Raw genomic sequence first — 24,959 nt, 5'->3', positions numbered from 1 at the left:
CACAACCCGATTGCTGCTGACCGAAACACGTTTCTGTTTATGCCTTCTACCCGCAAATGTAATGCCTTTTACATATTTACTAAGCATTTATCATGCCCTGTGGCCGCAACTTTTGCAGTTTGAGGTTCACCAGCAAAACAAGCACAAATTTCTTTTTCCTTCACAATTTCACAAATATAAGATTTGTTCCTACTGTAGGACTTAGCAACTTTAGCATACAGTTTGTTTTGTTTCGTTATTAAGCTGAGAACTTTTACTGTCTCGCTTCAAGGAAGTTCTTTATGGCTCCTCTTTGGCATATCTGAATTGCCAGCATCACTACTCTTGCATTTTGGGGCTGTTTTTAAATAAAATAAGGGTTACTTGAACACAAGCACTGATAACCAAGTTAGCTACTAAGTGATTAATGGGCCAGTAGCATATACAGTATGGATACACTGGACAAAGGGAAGATTCGTGTCCTAGGTGGGATAGAGTGGGACAGCATGAGATTTCATCATGCTGCTGAGAACAGTGTACAACTTAAGAATTAGGAATTGTTTCTTTCAGGAATTTTCCATTTAATATTTTTGGACTGTGGTTGACCAGGTGTAACAGAAGCTACGGAAAGTGAAACTTCAGATAAGCAAGGACTGCGATATTTCTTCCTCTCATACTTTTGTGTAGATACCATTTCCTTTTCATTTTAACCAACAACTCATAATTTTATCTTCCAATAGTCTCCAATGACCTAAAACTTCTTCCTAGTAGTAACTCATTTACATTCTTAAATAGATAATTAATGTACTTTCAGTAATTAAGTGCTAGGTACATGAAGTCAAAGTATTGTTCACTATGAAATATCCAATCACTTTGCCAATATAGTCAAATATTAATTGTCCAGGTGCTAATCCACCAGTTGATAGATTCTTCATGGGCTCTGCTTCCTCCCTTCCACTTAGTGACCACTCCTCAGCTATGAGCACATCTGCCAAAGCAGGTAGACAGGTACGTCAAAAATGCTTTACAACTCAAATCAGGCAATTCTATTAGTCAAGTTGCTGTTAGCAACATTTGCCAGGATTTCCTGTGTAGATCATTGAAACTGGTTGGCTTGCAAAGCTATTAAATGTCTCTGTGGATTATAGGTACATGGACTTGGTGTCATCCTCCATAACCATGCTGCCTGCCAGATGCAAAGGACTTAACATATAACAGACGGTTTCACATACATTATCACATTTGAGCTTTACAGTAATTTGTTATATACTCATTACATTTCCATATTCAAAATTGTTTCTCTACAACCAGAGTGACTCAATTTCTGCTAACATTAACATATCATTTTCTTTACCTGCCAAAAAAAAAAAGGAAAAGAAAAAGAAAAGGCATATCATTTTCTGAAGTATGTAGTACATTCTTCAGTATATTTTATTGTCTTCCCATCGCCTCTTGGATCCTCTTGTTTTTACATATGCACTGTTGATGAATTGACTTACTCTTTTCACTTGTAATTGGACTTCAGCGTTTCTGCTGTCCTAGGATCATGGTTCTTTTCTCCTCATTCTCTTTTTCTCTGCACAGAACTCCTCATTCATCGTTTTGTTTAGAGCAGTAGGTGCCCTCCATCCCTGCCCTACGTCTTCGACAGCTAACTTGAAAAGCCTGTTGCTGTGGCCCCTCAGAGGCCAGTACTTGCTATATGTCACCTTGAAAAGCCTGTTGCTGTGGCCCCTCAGAGGCCAGTGCTTACTATCTGTCACCTTGAAAAGGCTGTTGCTGTGGCCCCTCAGAGGCCAGTGCTTGCTATATGTCACCTTGAAAAGGCTGTTGCTGTGGCCCCTCAGAGGCCAGTGCTTGCTCTCTGTCAACTGTTCCCTGGACCCTTCTCTTGGCCAAATGCTATTTTTCCTGCCTTGGAGTTTCATATTAGCTATAGTTCAATTTGTTCTGTATAACATCACATATGACTTCTGTTCTTCGATTTCCTGAAGCATCTTAAAAATGTCTTTATTTTCCTTAATATTCAACTCTGCTTACTTTAATGGTGGGAACTGTATAATTAATGCATAAGGAAATTGACCTTAGAAATAACTGCTTAATCACATATATCTCACTTTCTTGTAGTAATGTTCAAATTCTTTTCACACTACTATCATTTCTCAGTTTCTTTTTATATCATATTCCCCTCTAAAGTGGACAAGAATTCTTCATTTTAATCACATTACATGTGAATTTGGACTCCTGCTCCACCCCCTCTGCCCTGCGTGTTTCCTTTGCTCATCTCCCTTGTTTTTCTGTACCTGTACATGATGTGCTAGGGTGTAGCCTATATAACCTTTTCAGACTAGACTCTACTTTTTTCACGTGAGGTATATTTCCTTTTAAGAAGCCCTATGGGACATGCATCATTGCTTGTCATTTTAATTCTCTACCCTTTGGAATGCTAGTCACATAAATGTCATCACGTACATTGTGAAACTAAAAAGTGATCAGATGGTTTTCTCTTATGTGTAAGGATCTACCCATCAGCTAGTGTGACACCTTGATCAGCAGGATATTAATGAAAAAATTTGAATCAATACACAGAGGCAAGAAAAGAAAAAAAGAATTGTGATCCGTATGCTCACATGCTTTTCCTTGACCTAACATAGCAAATACCCCATCCACCTTTTTCCTTTCCAAGAGACCATATAAATGAACAAACAAAAGCTCTGGCGAAACAAGCCAGCTGTGTCCCGCCCCCTTCTGGCTTGCTGCTGGGCTTTGTGACACTTAACTTACATTCTCACCAACTTTTCAGCAGGATGCTTGCGAAAATCTTGTTATTAGTGTTTAAGAAAGTAACCTCCTTTATATTTTTTACAATAGCATTGGTTTTTGTTTGATATGTTATAGTTTACAGAGGGCTTTATTAAAGTACGTTATGATCATTCTCTCTTAACAACCATGCCTTGAGATAGGTAGCTTGTAGTCTCCATTTAGAGTTTGGAAGCTACAGCAGCAAAGTGACTATTGCACACCCAATAAATGGCAGAGTCAGGATTGGATTCTAAATCCAGGGTCTTTCTGCTGCATCAGAGCTGCCACCTTCTCACCCTTTAAAAACATGATGGTGGCCGGGCACAGTGGCTCACACCTGTGATATCAGCACTTTGGGAGGCTGAGGCAGGAGTTCAACACCAGCTGGGGCAACATAGTGAGACCTCATCTCTACAAAACAAAAAACAAGAAAACCTGACGTAAACATAATGTTTTTAACTTTTGTTGTGCTGACTTCTCTCACTCCCCTATGGAGTGGAAATGCCTGTGTGAGATCCATAGGTGCTTTTCCTCCTCAACAGTTCCACCATGCCATATTCACATTAGGATATGATTCTCCTGCTAAATCATCTGTACATCAGATGTACACATCAATTGTGGGCCCTAGGTGCTTATCTGCAACACATTGCTTCTCTGTTTTTTTACTGCTCAAGTGCTCTGAGATGAATCCTTCTAATTAGCCTCTCTCCTTAAAAGTTCTAAGACTCTTTCTCAAACTAGGATGTATGCACTATTTGGACCAGAATCACCCAGAGGGCTTATTAAAAACGCATATTCCAGGACCCACCTTACACTTGATACAGAATGTCTGGGAGTGGGACCAGGGAATCTGAATTTTTATTAGGCTTCTCAAATAATTTTAAGAATTCCAAGGTTTGAGAAATGATCTAAGATACCTATGTGTTGTGCTGTAATTTTTGTGACCTTCCCTTGATTTAATTTACTTTTCTACTTAGTTTACTTGAAGCCTAACCCAATCTCAGCATCTCTTTTCTAACTCCAAGAGCCATTGTTTCATTCTTGAAGAATGAAAACCTTAGAGTTCCCTTAAACTGCTAAGTAAAGATACTGTGGAATTTCTGGTGCTCTGTCCAAAATCCAGCGTCTTTGCTGATGACTAGGTAAGAGGAAGCTTAAGGAGCCTGCCTTAAAGCAGAGGAAGATCTGAAATCATTGCACTGAAGAAGCAAGACTGACTTTGGTTTGTTTTTAAGAGAGAGGCCCAAGGAATCCAGCTGCCTCACACTGGGGTGGAGTTGCTGGGAAGGGTCTGTAGCAGGCATGTGCTTCATGCTGTGGGCCAGAGCCATTAGGGAGATCTCTTCACAGAGCTGTCAGGGAGATCAGTTCAGAGGCCATTCCCACCTGAGGTAACACAGTGCCGACACCTCTTCCTGGGATTCCTCAAAAGTGTCACCTCACCTGGACAGTTTTATTCTTTTCTAGGTAATTAGAACTCAGTATTCTAGAATGTGGAGGCTTAGCACCCAAAATTTAGGTGAAGGGTTGATGAGTTTGGGCTTTAACATTTACCTTGTGACAGGATGAAGCACTTCAACTTGCCAAGTCTTGTTTTTCTCATCTGTAAAATAATAATACTAATATCTGCCCTGTCTGCTATACTGCCGTTTTTGTGAAGATGAAGTGAGAAGGATATATGAGAACAAGGTGGCAGTTATCGAGAGAGAACTCAAGGTCTCCAGCATGCAGGTTTTCACTGAGCAGCTTCTGAAACCCTTACAAAGCAGCCAGCGGCTTTTGTGCAGAGGAGTGCCACTTCCTTCAGAGAGAGAACACGGTTTTCCTTTCTTCCTCTTTCCCTCTTCCGTTCAACTCTTGTAGAAGCCAAAACACCAGATACATAATGTCCTAATGCCCCTGCTTCCGGACCTGTTTTCGTTGTTGGGGTTTTTCCTCCCTGCTGGGTCCTCCAGCTGGGTCACAGTGTGCTCGTGTTCTTCCTGCCTCTGAGGCCACTTCCCTGGTTGGCGTGTCTCCTGTGGCCGCACGCCTTCTGTGTTATCCCTGATAGCTGTGTTGTGGACTTCCCAGCATGCGCCATCCGTGAACGTGGTATCATGGTGAGGCAGAAAGGCAGCTTCTTACCCCCATCATTCAGATGAGGAGATGAGATGCTGTGTCAGGGGCACATCATTTCTTCCTTGGGCCCTGTGCTTGGACCAAAGCTGTGCCGTCCTGTCATCTAGCCCCAGTGCCCTTTCCACAGTGACACTGCAGCTCAGTTAGCAGAGGCCATTGAGTTATATTCAGTATCCTTTGTCCCCACTAAAAGCTGAATGTCTAAAATCCTCCACCCTACTCCATTTGGTTACTTTCTATTTTAAATATTCTTGTAGGTGGATTTACATCACCTTCATTTTAAAATAACACCTCTCTTAAAGGTAAAAAAAAAAAAAAGTCTCCTTATTTGATTGTTAATCAGACACTGTCAAACTTGAGGCAGCTTCTAGACAAATGCAGCAGCACTTAGTGGCATTTTCACTTAAAGATTGTGTTAGTTATCTCATAGCTAGCTGGATCCTTTTGCCGTTACCTATATTTAGCATAGATGGTTTTGGCAAAATCAGAATGTCTATTTTTCTCTCAGTGTTTTTCTGCCTGTCCCTTTCCAACATTTTCCTTGTACTGTGTATGAAGATTTTATTTCAAAATATTGAAAAAATATTTAGATCTTTTAGGTTCAGTGTAGATTCACTTCTCTCTCTCTCTCTTTTTTTTTTTTTTTTTGTTTGGAGACAGGGTCCTGCTCTGTCATCCTGTCATCACCCAGGCTGGAGTGCAGTGACACAGTCATCTCACTGCAGTCTCAAACTCCTGGGATCAAGCTATTCTCCAGCCTTGGCCTCCTGAGTAGCTGGGACTACAGGTGCACACCACCACACTCAGCTAATTTTTTATTATTTATTTATTTATTTTTGTAGAGGCACGGTCTCGAACCATTGCCCAGGCTCGTTTCCAATTCCTGGCCTCACACAATCCTCCTGCCTCGGCCTCCCAGAGTGCTGGAATTACAGGCATGAGCCACCACACCGGCCAAGAGTGGGCTCACTTCTGTCATCCCATGTTGCATCTTTCTCCTGTTGTCTTAGTTCCTTTATAGCCCTTGAAAAATTCCACCAGAACTCAGTTGTTGTTTAAAATGTAATATCCCCTGATGATGATTTAGTTAGTTACATGTAAAAGAAAGAGAAAGCAAGCAAGCAAGCGTCTTCTTAAACCACAGAATCCAATGTTACCACCACTTTATACTGTACTTTATACAGGACCTCTTTGCCAAGTAATAGTTGGATAGGTTCCAAGCTCAGCAAAATCAGGAAATTGGTTTCACTTGTCTTTAATGTTAATCTTTTTCTGCTCTGGGCTCACCTCCACTGCACCCTGCACCCTCCTCCCTGTGGTGACTCTGCTCCTGAAAACACCTAGACATGGGAAGCTTCTCAGGGCCTTTTTTTTTTTTTTGGCTCTCTCACCTCAAGGGCTAAAATCTGATATACACCATTCCTAGTTGTCAATTCTAACGCAAGAAGGGACATTTATACCAGAAGTCTGCACAGTTATCTTAATTTGGGGAAATCTCATTCAGGAGAGGAAGGGCCAGGTCCTGACCTAGGAGCCCCAGAGAAAAATATCCTACGGTCCTGAGGTTCCCCTAGGACTCAGAGCTGTCCCTGCCCTAGCCTACCCCATTCCAGACTGTCCTGGCAGACACCAGTCCCTTCAGGCTTGAGCACTGATCAACTTCTTCCTCTCCCTCTGCCCCAGGACTTCCAGATTATAGGTTTTTCAGTGCATTTAGCATTTTGGTTAGCCTTCTAAAATATGATACTAACCCCCTCTCATTTAATTTATCTTCTGGATGTATCCATGGGGTCTCCTACATTACTCCTATTTTTGATGGTGAAATTTTTGACAAGCTTGTTGGAATACATTCTCTTCAAGCATAAGATGTGTCTATACTGTCGGGTGGTATCTTAACATATGTATTGATGCTACTTTCCAATAGTGGGAAGCCTGTTTAGAGCTAAATCTGGTTACTTGCAGTTCTGGGATTAACAAAAGATGCTTGACTTTTCACTTTAGGAAACTGTCATAGAAAAGGAATGAGAGTGAAGGAAGAAAAAATCATTACCTTGGGCTTAAAATAGTAGTTCTCCAAATAAGCACACGAGATTTCCAGGCTAAGAGCCTGTGTGGTTTTAACTTTAGTTATATGTGATCAGCTTAAATTAATGAATAACACGGGGAAACAAGGCTCTATGTTTAAACTATGTTGTCAAGTTGTATTATCAGTGGGGAGTCACCAGTAAGTGAATCCTGACATTCAAACCAGTTTTAATCCATGGATTCAAAGTGAAATGAATTAAGGTGCTTATTTAGACTGTTTATTCTAAGACAAAAAAGTAAGTTTTTAGTACCATACAGTGGTGGAAAGATGTTGGTTACCAACATGTTTGCTGTGGGTATTTCCTCTACCCCAGCACTGTCCAATAGAACTTTCTGCATTGCTGGAAATGTTCTGTGTATCTGCATTCTTCAATACAGTAGCTCTTAGCCATATGTGAACACTTGAAATATGGTTAATGTGACTGAGGAATTGAATTTCAGTGTAATTGTATTTTAAATAGCCACATGTGACTAGAAGTTGCACTATTAGACAGTGTAGCTCTGGCTATTCAGTATGACATTATTTACCATTCTCTTGATTTTAGGCAATTCGGTTTTCATATATTTTATCTTATGTGTATGTGAATGGCTGTATAATTTTTCTTTTAAAGGAACAAAAGAAAATTTATAAGGTATATTTGGTATGTTGTATTCCTTAAATTAAGGGGTTTTTTTAGTACTCTAGATTAAATTGTCATAAAAATCCTAATTGCAGGTGTGGGAAATGATGTTGATGGTGTTCTCCTCATGCACTGCAGAGGTAGCAATTGGTTAGATGGTGAGTCAGGAGGCCATACAGGCCTCACCTCTCAGAGGGCTGCAGCTTGGCCTCTGCAATGGATTCACCTGATAAGTTTGCCTTTGTTGGAAACCATTTTACATGCCTTTTCTCTCCTATATGAGTTAAAATATGCCATAGGTGTACAGTCAGCGTTATTATCCCACTGAGTTTGAAGATTCTCATTTCTCACTGTAAAAGTGAGGTGATTGGTATGCATCGTGAGCATGTTAAACTGTGTCAGCAAAGCCAAGAAAAGTTAGAAACTATTACCTGTAAACTACTTTTAAGCAGATGTGCTCCACAGTACAACAGGTGGCATTTTTAAAGCATTGATTAATATTCATTTGAAAACTTGCGGGAGGAGGAACTCTCTCTTATTACCTGCTTCTTTGCCAAAATGTCAGTCCTTTATGTAGTGTAGCTTTTCAAAATAAATCTATTTTGAAATACCAATAGGGGATATCAGAGAGTTTAATTAAAAATACATAAATATGACAAGAATACCAGTACCTATAACCCCTTGATAGTTGTCACGCACAGTGAATTCAGTCAGGTAACTGATCTCTTTGGGAATCTTAAAGATCATAGAGGAACCTGAAAAAATTACCCCCATCACTCCTGTGAAATATCCATACAGTGTATTTCCATTTCTTCAGGGAAGAGAGTTTAGTAACCTTTTTAAACTTACCCATATCAAGAAGCCCTGTAGTCAAAACCTCTCACTGCAAACTGAGATGCATCACAGAAAAAATAAAGCATGTGACTAAGCTGTCTGCATTTTCCAGAGAGAGGACTCTTTCCAAGTCTGGAGTAAAACCCTGGTGTACTTCTGGAATTTGTAAGATGTGCCTTGGTGTACATGTGTGGATTTGTGTGTATGCATGCTAAGGGGATGCTTTTTTTAGAGGGGAAGAAACACTAATTATTAGGCTTGTTACACTAAAGATTTTTAACTTTTGTTTTCTTCAGAAAAACTAATTATTAGGCTTGCCACATTAAAGAGTTTTAGCTTTTGTTTTCTTCAGACCATAAAGGTTTGTTTTTTAGCAGGACAGGTTTTGGCACCTTCTCCCTCTCACTTCCTCTTGCTCTGCTTTTTTTTTTTTTTTTTTTTTTTTTAGTTGGAGTCTCACTCTGTCATCCAGGCTGGAGTGCAGTGACGCGATCTCGGCCCACTGCAACCTCCACCTCCCTGGTTCAAGCGATTCTCCTGCCTCAGCCTCCCTAGGAGCTGGGACTTACAGGCACGCACCACAACACTGGCTAATTTTTGTATTTTTTAGTAGAGATGGGGTTTCACCATATTGGCCAGGCTGGTCTTGAACTCCTGACCTTGTGATCTGCCTGCCTTGGCCTCCCGAAGTTGCTGGGATTACAGGCATGAGCCACCATGCCCGGCCTTTGCTCTGGCTTATTGCCAGAATAACCCAGAATGTGAAAATTGTGAATCTCTTTTGCCTTCTGCATTGGTGTGCTGTCTTGTTAGGTCAGGTTTAAAGAATCTTTGGCCAAGGTCATTGCCTTAAAGAAAAGTATGTTCAGAGCCTCAAGTGTAAAAACTAATCAGACTTTTAAATAACACTTTTAAATAACTAAAGTTTTTAAAACTTTAGAGTTTTCAAATATGTTGCATGACATTTGTGTAGCACTTTACAATCTGTAGCAGAGGCTATCTACTGGCGGCAGAGGTCTGTCCCACAGGATTTTAAAAGAACATGGAAGAAAAGCATGGTGACTGGAGGGTGCATGCCATCTCACACAAGCAGTCAGTGTGCAGCTCAGCTAGAGATTGCCAGACAGATTCAGTAGTGCAAAATCTAATTTTTTTGAGAAAAGGCAGAAATCTAGATTTTTAAAATGAGAAATCCCCTAATTTTTAAAAACTGATTCAAATATTTTTTTTTTTTTTTTTTTTTTTTTTTTGAGACGGAGTCTCGCTCTGTCGCCCAGGCTGGAGTGCAGTGGCGGGATCTCGGCTCACTGCAAGCTCCGCCTCCCGGGTTCACGCCATTCTCCTGCCTCAGCCTCCCAAGTAGCTGGGACCACAGGCGCCCGCCACTACGCCCGGCTAATTTTTTGTATTTTTAGTAGAGACGGGGTTTCACCGTTTTAGCCGGGATGGTCTCGATCTCCTGACCTCGTGATCCGCCCGCCTCGGCCTCCCAAAGTGCTGGGATTACAGGCGTGAGCCACCGCGCCCGGCCCAAATATTTTTAAAGCACTGTACAAGCCCAAACAGAACATCTATGGTCAGGGACCGTAGGTCACCATTTTGATATTTCTGGTCCAAGAGATGGTGTTCATAGCTTTTTTTCCCCACCTTTTGAAATTTTTGCAATTATTACACTGTCATAGAACAGAAAGAACCATGACATTTCACAAAATATATTGCCAGTTTCATGTTCTTTTGACATTTCAGTTACCTTTCTGTCAGTGGTAAATCTTCTCCCCTCTGGAGTGTTGGGTGGGCACATTGGGATACTGCATTTGGAGATTTGGGGGCGGACTGTGGGTTGAGTAGGCCCCAGCTCTTTTCTTGGGGCCACAGTCACCAATTGCTGAGAATATTGTTCTCTGGGCTATCATTGCTGGAGTTAAAGGACTATCACTTCATAGAATATTTAGACTGGATTAGATATATATGATGAAGGTTGGGATTAAATATGACTCCATTCTGATGCAGTGTCTGTGTTTGAATTGAGTTGAAGGTAATAGTTGCATGAAAGCTTTTCAGTTAGTAACACGCTTTTTGGAGGTGAGCAAATCAAACAGGACTAAGGAAGAATATTGGGAAAGACTAGCAGCTGGTGAGATCCTTAGACATCTCAGAGTTGGTAGACATATGTTAACCTTCAAGTAGAGGGAGAGGTGGCATCTTTTAAACAATGCTTGGGCAACAAAAAGCAAAACAAGAAAAACACAAAGCATTTCTTTGTAATTAAGCCTAAGAGACAGCCATCAGGTTGTATGGAGTCTCAGCAGTGACTAGCATAGATAGTAGGATCTCAATAAATTGAATTTTTCCCTTCATGGAATAATAATGGTAACTGCTTAAATGGCAAGGGCTTTGCTAAGCACTTAATATGTTTTTCTGACCTCTCCAGTTTACAAATGAGGAAGCTGAGGATCAGAGAGGATAAGTAACTTGCCTCAGGACATGCAGCCAGGAAGTCTGGAGATCTGTTTGATTCCAGAGTTACACTCAATTGGAGTAGAGGCCAGTGGTGGTGAAGCTAGGCTAGTTGAGGTACCGACCATCCTTTCTTCATGTTTTCCAGAAAACAGGCTGAACACATAGGAACCATTAAAGTTGGACTAATGGGAACATTTTAGCATTCTGCATGTCTGGCCTGTCATAAATGCAGAATCGATCATGTATCGCTTGTTGATTGCATGCTTATATATCTTTTCATTGCATGTTCAGAAAAGTTTACTTTGTGACCAAGAGTTGTTTTGATAGGCCAGAACATTTAACTAGTCCATTATTCACATCAAAAAAATAGTTCTCAGTTATTGGTGTTGTAATGGTAAGAACTTTTTAACCAGTTTCCTTTGTCACTGTAGGATTTTTTTAAAAATCTGGCCGGGTATGGTGGCACACGCCTGTAATCCCAGCACTTTGGGAGGCCGAGGTGGGCGGATCACGAGGTCAGAAGATCGAGACCATCCTGGCTAACACGGTGAAACCCCATCTCTACTAAAAATACAAAAAATTAGCCGGGCGTCGCAGCGGGCGCCTGTAATCCCAGCTACTCGGGAGGCTGAGGCAGGAGAATGGCGTGAACCCGGGAGGCGGAGGTTGCAGTGAGCAGAAGATCATGCCACTGCACTGCAGCCTGGGTGACAGAGCGAGACTCCATCTCAAAAAAAAAAAAAAAAAATATGTTGCACATTATTCTCTCCTTTAAAGGGGAAGAAATATTAATATTTTTATAACTCACATTTTTCATAAAATAGGAATAGTATTTTGTTTAGCAGGCACTTTATCATGGATTTTTAATAAATTATAAAGGACACTTTATACATAAAATTGTTGTGTGAAAAGACTAATACTAGGCCAGGCGCGGTGGCTCATGCCTGTAATCCCAGCACTCTGGGAAGCCAAGGAGGGCGGATCACTTAAGATCAGGAGTTTGAGACTAGCCTGGGCAACATGGTGAAACCCCGTCTCCACCAAAAAAATACAAAAATTTAGCCGGGCATGGTGGTGCATACCTGTAGTCCCCAGCTACTCCAGAGACTGAGGCAAGATAATCACTTGAACTGGAGAGGCGGAGATTGCAGTGAGCTGACACTGTGCCACTGCACTGCAGCCTGGGTGACAGAGCAAGACTCCGTCTCAAAAAAAAACAAAAAACCCCAACATACTCATCCAAATATCTTTTTTTTTTAAACCACCATGTGTGTATCTATTACTATTACATTTCAATATCAAGGATGAAATTCCTTTTAGATAAATAACCAAATGACTTAACATTTTTGTTCAAAAAAGCTTAATCAAGTTAGAGAAAGGACCCAGATTGTCGTTAGAACTGCCCTGTTCTCGAGCCCAAGCCCTCAGCTGACGGACCAACCAGCACCAGCACTGCAGCCCCTTAGGAGCTGCCCTCCCACCCAAGGCTGTTCCAGCTGAGTCAGAGCACATTTGCTGAGACTGCAGTTGGGTTGCCATCTATTATTTCTTCATTCCTGTTCATTCAACAGATATTTATTCAGTATCTTCTATGCCCCAGGCATTGTGCTAAGCACTAAGTAAGACACATGAGAAAAGGACAGATGCAGTTGTTGCCCTCACAGGGCTTCCAGCCTAGTATGAGTCAAGCAGAATCCAGCAGACAGCAAACACCATATAGTGGGATAACTGCTAAGGCAGAGGGATGATAGTGCTGTGACCGCTGGGTCATCCCTCAGTTGCCCAGTTGAGGGCTGAGTAGGCTGTTCCAGTTCCTCAGGAGCTGTGCCAGTCTCCCAGGCCCCGTGGTTCCCTTCATGAGGTGGTCTGCGAGTTAACACATACAAAGCACTTAGAACACTGCCTGGTGCTTAGTAAGTGCTCAATAAATCTTAGCTACCTACTGGGTATAATGTAACCTAATCTTTCCCCAAAAATTTAATGACAAATTTCTGTATAACTGTTTTGAATTCTGTGTCCTGAGGTTTCTAACAGAGATATAATTGGCTTTTCACACAGAACTGAATATGTTCTTTATACATACTAAAATAGTTTCACAGTTAGCTGGTGAAAATTTATGCATAATTACTTTTATCATTCTTAAGGAATAATTAGCCCTGCTAATGGGAACTATCATTATCTTAATCATCATTATTATCCCAATCTAAAGCATTTATTAAGAATTTGATTTTGCCTTATAACTAAGCTAGCCCTTCTTCAAAGCAAGTTTGTGACCTTGTCTTCGGCTTGTTTACGGTCTAAGACAATACTGATGGGGAGGTAGATTGGGGCCAGTGTTCATTCTGCTGTTCCCTCTCAAGTTACCTTCCATTCATGTACGCTTGTTGATATGTTTTCTTATAAATGTTATGTCTTTATGGTTATAAAACCCACCTCTTCCAGCAGATCCTGAGGCCTCACACCCAAAATAATATGTTTAGAGAACCAGATAATAGTTATATTTCCTTCTCATTGTACCCCCGGAGTGGTTGCTTAGTATTTAGGTGATTTTTAGAAAACAATTTTTTCTGAAGTAATTTCAAACTTAGAGAAAAGTTGCCAGAGCAGTACAAAGAACTCTCATATTCTCTTCACTCAGATTCCCCAATTATTGGCATTTTACTTCATTTGTTTCGTTTCCTACTCTCTCTGTGTTTTTTGTTTTTTTGAGACAAGTCTCACTCTGGTGCCCCAGGCTGGAGTGCAATGGCGAGATCTTGGCTCACTGCAACCTCTGCCTCCTGGGCTCAAGCGATTCTCCCACCTCAGCCTCCTGAGTTGCTGGGACCACAGGCGCTTGCCACCACGCTCGGCTAATTTTTGTATTTTTTGTAGTGGCAGGGTTTCACCATGTTGCCCAGGCTGGTCTTGAACTGCTGGGCTCAAGCAATCCGCCCGCCTCAGCTTCCCAAAGTGGTGGGATTACAAGCATGAGCCACCATATTCAGCCTCTCTTTGTTTTTATATGCATTATCATTTATTTTTTCTGAACTTTGAGAGCAACCTGTGTGTAACATCCTATCACCCATAAGTACTTGAGTATGTGTTCTAGACACTCCTATATCACCTGCATAGAACTCTCCAAATCGGGAAATCAGCCTTGATACAACACTACTGTCTAATCCAGTATGCTCCATTCAAATTCCACGAACCGTCCAAACAATGTATTTTTTCTCCATTCTGGAATGGAGAAAGTAATCGGTATCTTCTGCGTTCCAGGTCTTGTGCTGAGCACTGGGATTCATGGGAGAAGGAGACATGCGGTTGCTGTGATGGTCCTGCCACATCCGTGTGATGTTTCTTTGTCAGGTCTCTCCAGACTCCTTCAGTCTGGACGATCTCCTCAGCCTTGCCCTGTCCCTCATGGCCTTGTGTCAATTTTAAAGAGTACAGGCTGTAAGTTCTCAGCCTAGGTCCATTCAGCGTTCCCTGATAACCAATTCAAGCCATGCCTGCTCTTCTCAGGAGGCACGCCATGACTACCCTTCCCACTCCTGGTGACGTTGACCTCTGTCACCTGCTCCTGTTAGCATCTGCCAGGTTTCTCCACCTCCAGTTCACCTCCTTTTTATTAATTAGTATTTTGTGGGAATGACTCCTGCCTGTGTCAGCCACCTCTGTGATGGTTATCAAATGGCAACTGTCTATTTCTGTCATTTCTTTTACACATGGGAGTTGGCATTCTATAAGAAATAGCTTTCCCTTTCTCCCATTTATTTATTTTATTTATATCTGTTTGGACTCATGAATTCCTGTATAATTCAATGGGTTATAGTCTATTATTTATTTTGATGCTAAAACTATCTAGGATTTGGCCAGTGGGAGTTCTTCCTCCTGGTCCTTTTAACTTCCTTCCATCATCCATTGAGTATTTCCTTATGATCTGGCACAAAAAGATTTCCAGACTCATCTTGTACTTCCCCAGCCCCAGCCCTGGAATCAGCCATTTTGCCAAAGAGCCCTGCCTGATTCCTTTTAGTAGAGGATGGTAACTTAGGATCCAGGATCTGGGTAGATGAGGTGCTCACTGCTACTGAGATGTCATTGCTTCTAGACCCTCTCAGTAGAGAAAGCTTGGGTACATATACATATACACACATACACACACATATACACTCACACACATTTACATCTGGAAGTATTTATATAGCTGTGTGTGTATATAAATCATGGGTTCATACTGATCCCTCCAACCACAGTCTAATACCTCAGTGTTCTTTCTCGCATTTTCCCTTCCATGTTTGTTAATACCTCCTCCAACAGCAAGAAGCCCATTTTCCTTAATATATTGATTTTTTTGCTCAGTTTGCCTGTTTGCTCCATGTAACTGGTTTTCCAGCCACACTGGCCATCTCTTCCACCTGTCACCTCTGTCTCTCCTTCACCACCCCCATTCTCAACTGCAGGCCTCTGGTTCATACCTGTGTTAGCCCACCACCTTCCCTCACCTTTCCATGTCCTCACCACCTTGAGTTTTCAGCCACCATACTGTGTCCTCCACGTGGGGAAGGGAAAGAGGCGAGTCTCAGGTGAATCTTATCTAATGACATATTTGAGATGATTGGGCTGGTCTCTGGAAAACCAGAAGCTTGCCTAGTGAAGTATTTCATTCTTCCTTTTTTCCTGTTTTCTTTTTTTAATATTTGTGTTTATGCGTTTCTTTTCATTTTGAATTGAAATCATATTTTGTATTTCAATTTCTGCTTAGCAGAGATAGAAAAGAGAAACAAGCTTTCGAGATAGATTTTTAGGGGTCTTGACAATAAGTTAAATCCAGAAATAAACAGGGCTCATCTTAGTCCATTGGTGCTGCTATTAAGGAACACCTGAGGCTGAATGATTTGAAAAGAAAAGAGGTCTATTTGGTTCATGGTTCTGCAGGCTGTATAAAAAGCATGGCACCAGCACCTGCATCTGGTGAGGGCCTCATGCTGCTTCCACTCATGGGGGAAGGTGAAGGGATCCAGCCTGTGCAGAGGTCACATGGCGAAGAGGAGCTAGGGGGTGGCAACGGGCTCTTCACCAGCAGATCAGAAACTAACAGTAAGGACTTACTCACCCTCTCCCCAGGTCCCACCCCCAGCATTGGGGATCAGATTTCAACATGAGGTTTGGAGGGTCAAATACCCTAACCGATAGGAGGGCCAAAACAAAAAAGAAATGATTGTTAGCAAAACAAGACTCAGGGAAGAAGATTACATTAACTTTAGGTAATTCGTTAGGGTTTGTTTCAAGTTCTTATGTTGTGTTTTAACTTGGGTCAGTTGATGCACAACTAGAAGTCATTTCATGGACATATTAAAGATACCTCTGGGTGCTAGTGACCTGTAGTTTTTTATGCTTTACTCAGTCTTTCTTGGTGAACCTCTTCTACTCAGTCCCTGAAGTCCAAATCCTATTATTCTCTATTCCCTTTTCAGAGGTAGGCAACATTTATTGGAGGACTAATGGCTTTCTTGACACTAAGTAAACATCACATTTACCTTATCTGTTCTCTAGGCTCTTCTTGTATAGGGTTCCTTCCAATAGTTATTGATTTTGAAAGATAATTGTTACCCCATAATGTGTGTGTGTATGTGTGTGTGTGTTCACATGCATGTGAGACCCCAAGCCCAAGAAGACAAGTCAGAGCTGTTCAGGTTTAGGAGACATACCTTGGGTTCAAATTCTGTAAACCTCACTTTACTTGTCTGTAAAATGGGGATTCAGTGAGGTAATATATGTTAAAAAGTGCTTGGCATATAGTAAGAGCTCAGTAACAATTAGGTATAATTATTTTTACTGCTGTCACCATAAATATTAAAAAGAGATACTAAAAAAATTTTAATGGGCAAAGGATTTGAATATTTTCCCAAAGAAGATATAAAACAGCCAATAAGCACGTGAAAAGATGCTCAACATCACTAGTCATTAGGGACGTGCAAATCAAAACTACTGTGAGATACCACTTTACACTCATTAGGACAGCTATTATTTAAAAAAAAAAACAAAAAAAAACAAAAAAAAAAAACACAGCAAATGAGCAGTGGAGAAATTGGAACTCTTGTTGCGCACTGTTGGTAGGGATGTAATGTAAAATGGTACAGCCACTGTGGACAACAGTTTGGCAGTTTCTCAAAAAGTTAAACATAAAATTACCATATGGTCCAATAACTCCACTACTAAGAATATACCCAAAAGAACTGAAAGCAAGTACTTAAACTTACTTATACACCAATGTTCATAGCAGCATATTCATAATAGCCAAAAAGATAGGAACAGCCCAAATGTCCATCAACAAATGATAAAATGTAGTATATACGTACAATGACATATTTTTCAGACACAAAAAGGAAGGAAATTCTAATACATATTACCACATAGATGAACCAGACATAGAAATACACATACTAGGCCAGGCACGGTGGTGGCTCACGCCTGTAATCCCAGCACTTTGGGAGGCCAAGGCGGGCAGATCATGTGAGGTCAGGAGTTCAAGAGCAGCCTGGCCAACATGACAAAACCCTGTCTCCACTAAAAATATAAAAATTAGCTGGGCGTGTTGGTGGGTGGCTGTAATCCCAGCTACTCGGGAGGCTGAGGCAGGAGAATCACTTGAACCCGGGAGGTGGAGGTTTCAGTGAGCCGAGATTGGACCACTGCACTCCTGCCTGGGCAACAGAGTGAGACTCCACCTCAAAAAAATAAAGACATATACTGTATTATTCCACTTATATGAGGTACCTAGAATTAACAAATTCTTAGAGATAGAAAATAGAATAGTGGTTACCTGGGGGCGGTGAGGGGAAGATGTGGAGTGATTGTTTAATGGGTACAGAGTTTCTGTTTGGAATGATGAAATCCTTCTGGAAATGGATAGTGGTAATGGTTGCACAATATGGTGAATGTACTTAATTCCAACGAATTATGCACTTAAAACTGTTAAATGATAAATTTTATTTTATATTATCCACACGTACAAAGAAATTACTGAGATATTAAAATGATGGTAAGATGAAAAACCTACCTATACATGTTCTTACAAGGTTGTTTTTTCCCCCATAGTGTCCATTGGTGATAGACATTGACTCCCTTCTCCCCGCCTCCCCACACAATCTGTCAGAGAAATGTTGCAGAATAACATTTGTATGCTAAAGAAGTCACAGGGGCCAGGTGCGGTTGCTCACCTGTAATCCCAGTACTTTAGGAGGCCGAGGCGGGCGGATCACGAGGTCAGGAGATCGAGACCATCCTGGCTAACACGGTGAAACCCCATCTCTACTAAAAATACAAAAAAATTAGCCAGGCATGGTGGCAGGCACCTGTAGTCCCAGCTACTCAGGAGGCTGAGGCAGGAGAATGGCGTGAACCCGGGAAGCGGAGCTTGCAGTGAGCTGAGATCACGCCACTGCACTCCAGCCTGGGCAACAGAGCGAGACTCCATCTCAAAAAAAAAAAAAAGAAGTCACAGGAAGGGGAAGGTTGGAGGGGTTCAATGAATCTATAACAGAGGTTGGCCTATAGGCCAAATCTAGCCTGCAATTTATAATAGTTTTTACTTTTTTTCTTGTTTGGTGGGGTTTGTTTTGTTTTTTAGAAACAGGGTCTTGCTCTGTTGCCCAGGCTGGAGTGCAGTCGTGCGATCACAGCTCACTGCAGCCTTAACTTTCCGGGCTCAGGTGATTCTGAGTAGCTGAGACTATAGGCACATGCCACCATGCCCAGCTAATAGTTTTTGCATTTTTTAAAGGGTTTAAAAAACAATGATGAATATATTACAACAGCCACATGTGGTGCAAACCCTAAATTATTTACTAACTAGCCTTGTACAGAAGAAGTTTGCCAACACCTAGTCTATAGCATTGCTATGGACTGAATTATGTCTCCTCCCACAAAAAATTCATACCTTGAAGCCCTAACCCCCAGCGCGATGGTATTTGGCAATGGGACCTTTGGGAAATAAGTTTAGATGAGGTCATGCGGAGGTGGAGCCCTCACGATGGGATTAGCACCCTTATGAAAAAAGATACCATGTGAAGGAGGGCACATCTAGAAGGTGGCCATCTGCAAGTCAGGAAAAGACCCCTCACCAGAAACCAATCATGCTGCCATCCTGATCTCAGACTTCCAGCCTCCATAACTGTGAGAAAATACTTTTCTCTTGTTTAAGCCCCCCAGTCTATGGTGTTCTGTTATGGCAGCCTGAGCAGACTAAGACAAACGTACAGTTTTTCCAAAAGCAAAGCCTAGTCCTACCCTCTTAGATTTTACCAAATCTCTTCACAAATGAAAGGGGTTTTAAGAAGAGGAAAGAATGCTTGCTGTAAAGCTTGGTCAGGGAATTTCTTTGAAATAACCAGCGCAGTAAGCAGCGGGTTCCAAAATGCTAAGAAGAATAGGGTTTCTACAATAGTGGTTTTCTTATGTGGCACCATCTGTTTTTCTTTGACTGTAATAAAAATGACAGCTTTTCATGTACTGATACTCCCTGTGCCTTTTAAAGTCAAACATATGATGCTATTTGTGTGTAAAGGTTTTTCTCTTGCACCCATTTGTTTCTCCAGCTTGAATTTCTATGTAAACTCCCTTGGCTAAATTACACAAGCCGCCTACACCCAGCCGCCTCCTCCCTCGCTTTAGAGCAGGGGGTGGAAACCTTCCGTCTGCAGCATGGAGTATCCAATACACAGCTCACTGTGCCAGGCAAAGAAAGATTCCCTAACCGGAAGGGCTTCATGGTACCCGCTCCCCTATTTGTGCCCATCATTCTGAATATGCAACTTTGAAACGGCTTTATGACATTTTTGGCAACCTATCCTAAACCTGGCTTTTGTCTCCCTTTTCTCCTTAGTAATCCTTGGTAAATCTTCATCATCTCCCTTTTCCCTCTTTGCCCTAAATGCCCCTTTTATCTTAAAAGGCAATAATATGTATTTAAAGCAAACTCCTTTTTTTTTCTTTTTTTAAGAGAGGGGGGGTCTCACTATGTTGCACAGGCTAGTCTCGAACTCCTGGCCTTAAGCTATCCTCTCACCTCAGCCTCCCAGATACTTTTTTATTAAATAACTTTACAGAAGTATAATTTACAAAATTCAACCATGTTAAGTGTATAATTAAATGGTTTTTAGTAAATGTACCAAGCTGTGCAACCATCACCATAATCTAACTTTAGAACATTTCCATCACCCAAATATGATCCCTCATGCCCTTTTTTAAATTTTTTTTTATTTTTTAAAATTTTTGTGGGTACATAGTAGGTATCTGTATTTATGGGGTGCATGAGATGTTTTGATACAGGGATGCAATGTGAAATAAGCACATCATGGAGACCTTATGCCCTTTTATAATTAGTTCCCACTCCCAGCCCCTGGCAACCACTATTCTACTTTCTGTCTCTAGATTTGTCTTTTCTGGATATTTCATATAAATGGAATCATATAATGTATGATGATTTGCTTTTGGCTTCTTTCATTCAACATGATGTTTTGGAGGCTTGTCTGTGTTGTAGCATGTGTCAATATTTCTTACCTTTATGTTGCTGAATAGTATTCCACTGTACAGGTATATATATATATCACTTGTCGTTTATCCATTCACCAGTTGATGGATATTTGGGTTGTTTTCACTTTTCAGTTATGACTAATACTCTATGAACATTTGCATTAAAATCTTTGAGCAGACTTATTAAACCTCCTTTTTTCTTCTTTTAAGAGACAGGGTCTTGCTCGTCACCCAGGCTGGAGTGCAGTGGCACCATCATAGCTCACTTTAACGTCAAATTCCTGGGCTCAAGCAATCCTTCCACCTCACCTCCCAAGTAGGTGGGACCACAGGTGTGCACCACCACCCTGGCTACTTTTTAATTTTATTGTAGAAACGGAATCTCACTATGCTGCCCAGGCTGATCGCAGCTCCTGGCCTCAAGTGATCCTCCTGCCTCAGCCTCCCAAAACACTGGGATTATAGGCAAGAGCCACTCAGTCATAAGCCTCTTATTCTTGATAATTAATAAAATCATATGTTTATATGTTTCTAGTTATAAATTCAAAAAGCAGCTGAGTAGAACTTCTTATAATCCAAATCCGTTGCCCCTCAAAAAACCCCTCCTGAGCTAAATTAGCTTTTCTTACTTCTCTGAGGCTATTGATGAGTCACTGGCACTTAACAGAAAGGAGGCTCCCCACTTACCATAAAAATGTTCCCAATTGTTGTTTTCAAAATAGAAAAGTGGCCAGGTGTAGTGGCTCACACTTGTAATCCCAGCATTTTGGGAGGCCGAGGAGGGAGGATCACTTGAGTCTAGGAGTTCAAGACCAGCCTGGGCAACATAGTGAAACCCCATTTCTACAAAAAATAAGAAAAAAAAATTAGCTGGGTGTGGTGGCACACACCTGTAGTCCCAGCTACTCTTGAGACTGAGGTGGGAGGATCAGTCCTGAGGAGGCTGTCCTGGGAGGTTGAAGGTTGAAGCTGTGGTGAGCTGTGATTGTGCTACTGCCTTTCAGCCTGGGTAACAGAACAAGACCCAGTCTCAAGAAAAAAAGAATGGGGAGGAAAAGAAAAATATAAGTTATCATCCAATTTAAGGGGCATTGATTCCACACATCCCTGTGTCCAGACCTCTGTCAGGACTGAGGAAGCCAAATGATGAGACCTGGGCCCTTGAAGACCTTGCCATCAAGCAGGGAGTAATTGCCAGAGAACTGTTCACGTTTCACATGCTCAGCAGTCAGCAATGATGACAGGAGAGCTTGTCAGTTATTCTCTCCTCTCTGGCCTTTTGGATGAAGGAAAAAATTATTTTTAAGAAGATTATCAAAGCCTCTACCCATTTTTTTCACCAACTAGAATAATTTCAGCTCATGCAAGGAAGTCAGTATTAGCCAGCGTTTCACGCCTTGCCTGTGGAGGGATCATGGGCACGCATCTTTCCAAAGAACAGCAGCAGCCCTGGCCGCCCCAGGCCAGCTCAGCCCCCTGTCCTTGGTAGGACCTTCCTGGGCAGTCCTGGTTTGGATATGTCCAGGGCCTACAAGCACACAACTTTGTGCGGTGGCCAATGTGATTAGTCGCCTGGTTTGTTACTCAGTTTTTCTTAGGTTGAACCCAGCATTTTACTCCCTGCCAGTTTTACTAGTCTCATGTCCATATGCCTCTTGCTCATGGTATCCTTTTACATATTTTAAAGTACTTACCCTCTCTTTCCTTTTCCAAAGTCAGCTCTGCTAGTTGAAGAGTTCTTCTAGCAGACTCTGTTCCCTAAATGGGGTCTCATCTATTTACAGTGTAGTAATTGGGATAAGACTGTTAATGTGGCTGAATCCTGGAGTGTTGTTTGTTTGAACAGCCACCTCACACCCTGTTGGCTCCTGTGAGGCTTATGGTTCACCAAAAACTCCAGATCTCTTGATTTCATAAGGTGGGTCTTCTCCATTCTGATCTGGAGTCATTTTGTTGTTGCTAAGTCATGTAATTACATTTAGACTTATTAAATTTATGTTACTGTGGGTTTGGGGGTTTTTTCATTTATTTTTTGTGGTAAAAGACATACAACATTTACCATTTTACCACTTCTAAGTGTATAGTTCAGTTGCATAAATACTGTCCCATTGTTGTGCAACCATCATCACCATCCATCTCCAGAACTTTTTTAATCCTCCCAAACTGGAACTCCATACCAATTAAACAATAATTCTCTATTTCTCATCTTCCCAGCTGCTGGCAACCTTCTGTCTCTACTCTTTGTCTCTGCCTCACCCTAGGTACCACATATGAGTAGAATCACACAGTATTCACCTTTTTGTGACTGGCTTATTTTACTTAGCATGATGTCTTCAAGGTTCATCTATGTTGTAGCATGTGTAAGAATTTCCTCCCTTTTAAGGCTGCATAATACTCCACTGTATGTATATAATAATATCCCGCTGTATGTATAGACCACATCTTGCTTATCCATCCATCAGTACACACCTGGGTTTCTTTGCCTTTTGACTGTTGTGAATAATGCTGCTATAAACATGAGTGTACAAATATCTCTTCGAGTCTCATTGATCATGCTGGTTTTAAGTTATGCATTTGTCCATTTTGAGTTATTGGTTGTATAATTATCTATAAATCACATAAGGTCAATCTCTTTATCCAAATCCCTTCTTGATAACAATGTTGCATTTCCTATTGATTGGAAGAAATGATTTTGCACAAAATGGTCATTTCCTGCATCCCTAGTCTTTTTTAAAAGACTTATGCCATCGTCTTCACAGCTGGGCTCTGGGAACAGACTGCTTTCATACTTAGCCTGAGTCTGAGTTTGTCATAGTTCTTTTGGCTGAGGTCTAACTTGGGGACGGATGGGAGGTGAATAATAACCAATCTCTAGGCTGGGTCAAAGCAGGAGGTTTTGGGCGGTTTTGGGTTTTGTTTGTTTTTTTTTTTTACCTATTTGAAGGTCACTAAGACTACACGGAAACTATCAGGCACCATAAAGAAGGGAACTGAGTCTCGGAGTAACCCACTTAGGACTGAATTCATTTGCTCCGCAATTATTTATTGAGCTCTTACTTGTGAAAAGCACAAAGTGTTTTTGGAAAACAGAAGATGAATAAACACGTTCCCTGCTTTGAAGATGTTTACAGTACAAAATATTAGAGGAACTTCCTATTATAACCCAGAGCTCTTTAGGCAAGGCTTCCACTCTTAGCTGTAAAAACATATCTCCTTAAGATAAAGAGGATTATAAAATACATCAGAAAGCAAAGTGTGCTTTTATATTTATATTATATTTTGTTATAGATGGATTCAAGTAAGGATTTGGAGACAGACTGAAAAATCTTACCATGAAAGCTTTAGAGGTGGTTAGCTTTTGCTTTTCTTTGGCTAATATGAGAGCACCAGGAAAACAGAAAGTACTCTTGCTCTTGACAGTATAAAATTCTTATTATTTTTAGAGAATAGTAACTGCATTTATGAAATTCTTTGTCAGAGCAATTTAGTTAATAGATATGTAAATGACTACTTATTTCATTGTGTAGGTGGACCGCTCCATGTACACTTTCTGAGGAAGAACATAAGTGCTAAAAACTATTAACATTGCAAATGGAAAGAAGCAAAAGTTAAGGCTAGAATGCCATTCCCTTGCTGTATTAGATATTAGGAGTGGGACAGAAAGTCCATCTTGTCATCAAGATTTGTTCGGTTTATGGGGTGGGATTTCTTATTTACATCCCACTCTTGGACGGTCTTTTTTTTTTTTTTTTTTGATGCATGGAAACTAATATAAATTGGGGTGCAAGGGTGTTTCTTGCTGATTTTCAAGCACAAAAGGTCATTACAAACCCAGCTGGGAAGGGACTGGGGGAGGTGCTGAAAGTTAAAACCACGGCAGTAAATTTTCAACACAAGGGAATACCTCCTAAAAATCACCTAGGGGCTCTTTTAAACCTTTATTGTTTTTTTCAGCATAAAAACAACTTCAGAGGAGACTGGGGATTTCAAAGCTCTCTGGCTCTAACTGCCTCCTGGGAACAGCATGGAAGCTTCCCTAATCATGGAGGAGTTAATGCAGGCCTCTGGGGGAAGAAGTCTCTAATGGGAGGAAATAAATGGGCCCTTGCCTTGCAGATGGTCCCAAGCCCTCCCCTCACTGGAATTCTTCTTGCTCTGTGAGCTAGCCTCATCTTCAGTTGTGCTTTTTTTTTTTTTTTTGAGACAGTCTCACTCTGTCACCCAGGCTGGGGTGCAGTGGCGCTATCTCGGCTCACTGCAAACTCCGCCTCCCGGGTTCAAGCGACTCTCCTGCCTCAGCCTCCTGAGTAACTGGGATTACAGGCATACGCCACCACACTTGGCTAATTTTCTGTATTTTTTGTGGAAACAGGGTGTTACCATGTTGGCCAGGCTGGTCTCAAACTCCTGACCTCATGTGATCCACCCACCTCAGCCTCCCAAAGTGCTGGGATTACAGGCGTGACCACTGACATCAGTCCACATTCTCCGCATGAGGCTGGCAAACCTGTAAATCCCCACCCCTCGTGTTTGTTACCC

At 41.4% G+C, this 24,959-nt stretch overlaps 1 protein-coding gene across 8 annotated transcripts in view; it reads left to right on the top strand.

The window, feature by feature from the left end:
• Nucleotides 1-24,959, top strand: part of HACD2 (3-hydroxyacyl-CoA dehydratase 2) — a 93,500-nt gene that overhangs the window by 57,171 nt on the left and 11,370 nt on the right. The gene's annotated exons all lie outside the window — the stretch shown is intronic.

This window comes from Homo sapiens, chromosome 3 (assembly GCF_000001405.40).
Source record: "Homo sapiens chromosome 3, GRCh38.p14 Primary Assembly".
Taxonomy (NCBI): domain Eukaryota; kingdom Metazoa; phylum Chordata; class Mammalia; order Primates; family Hominidae; genus Homo; species Homo sapiens.
This window is presented reverse-complemented; position numbering and strand designations above follow the sequence as displayed.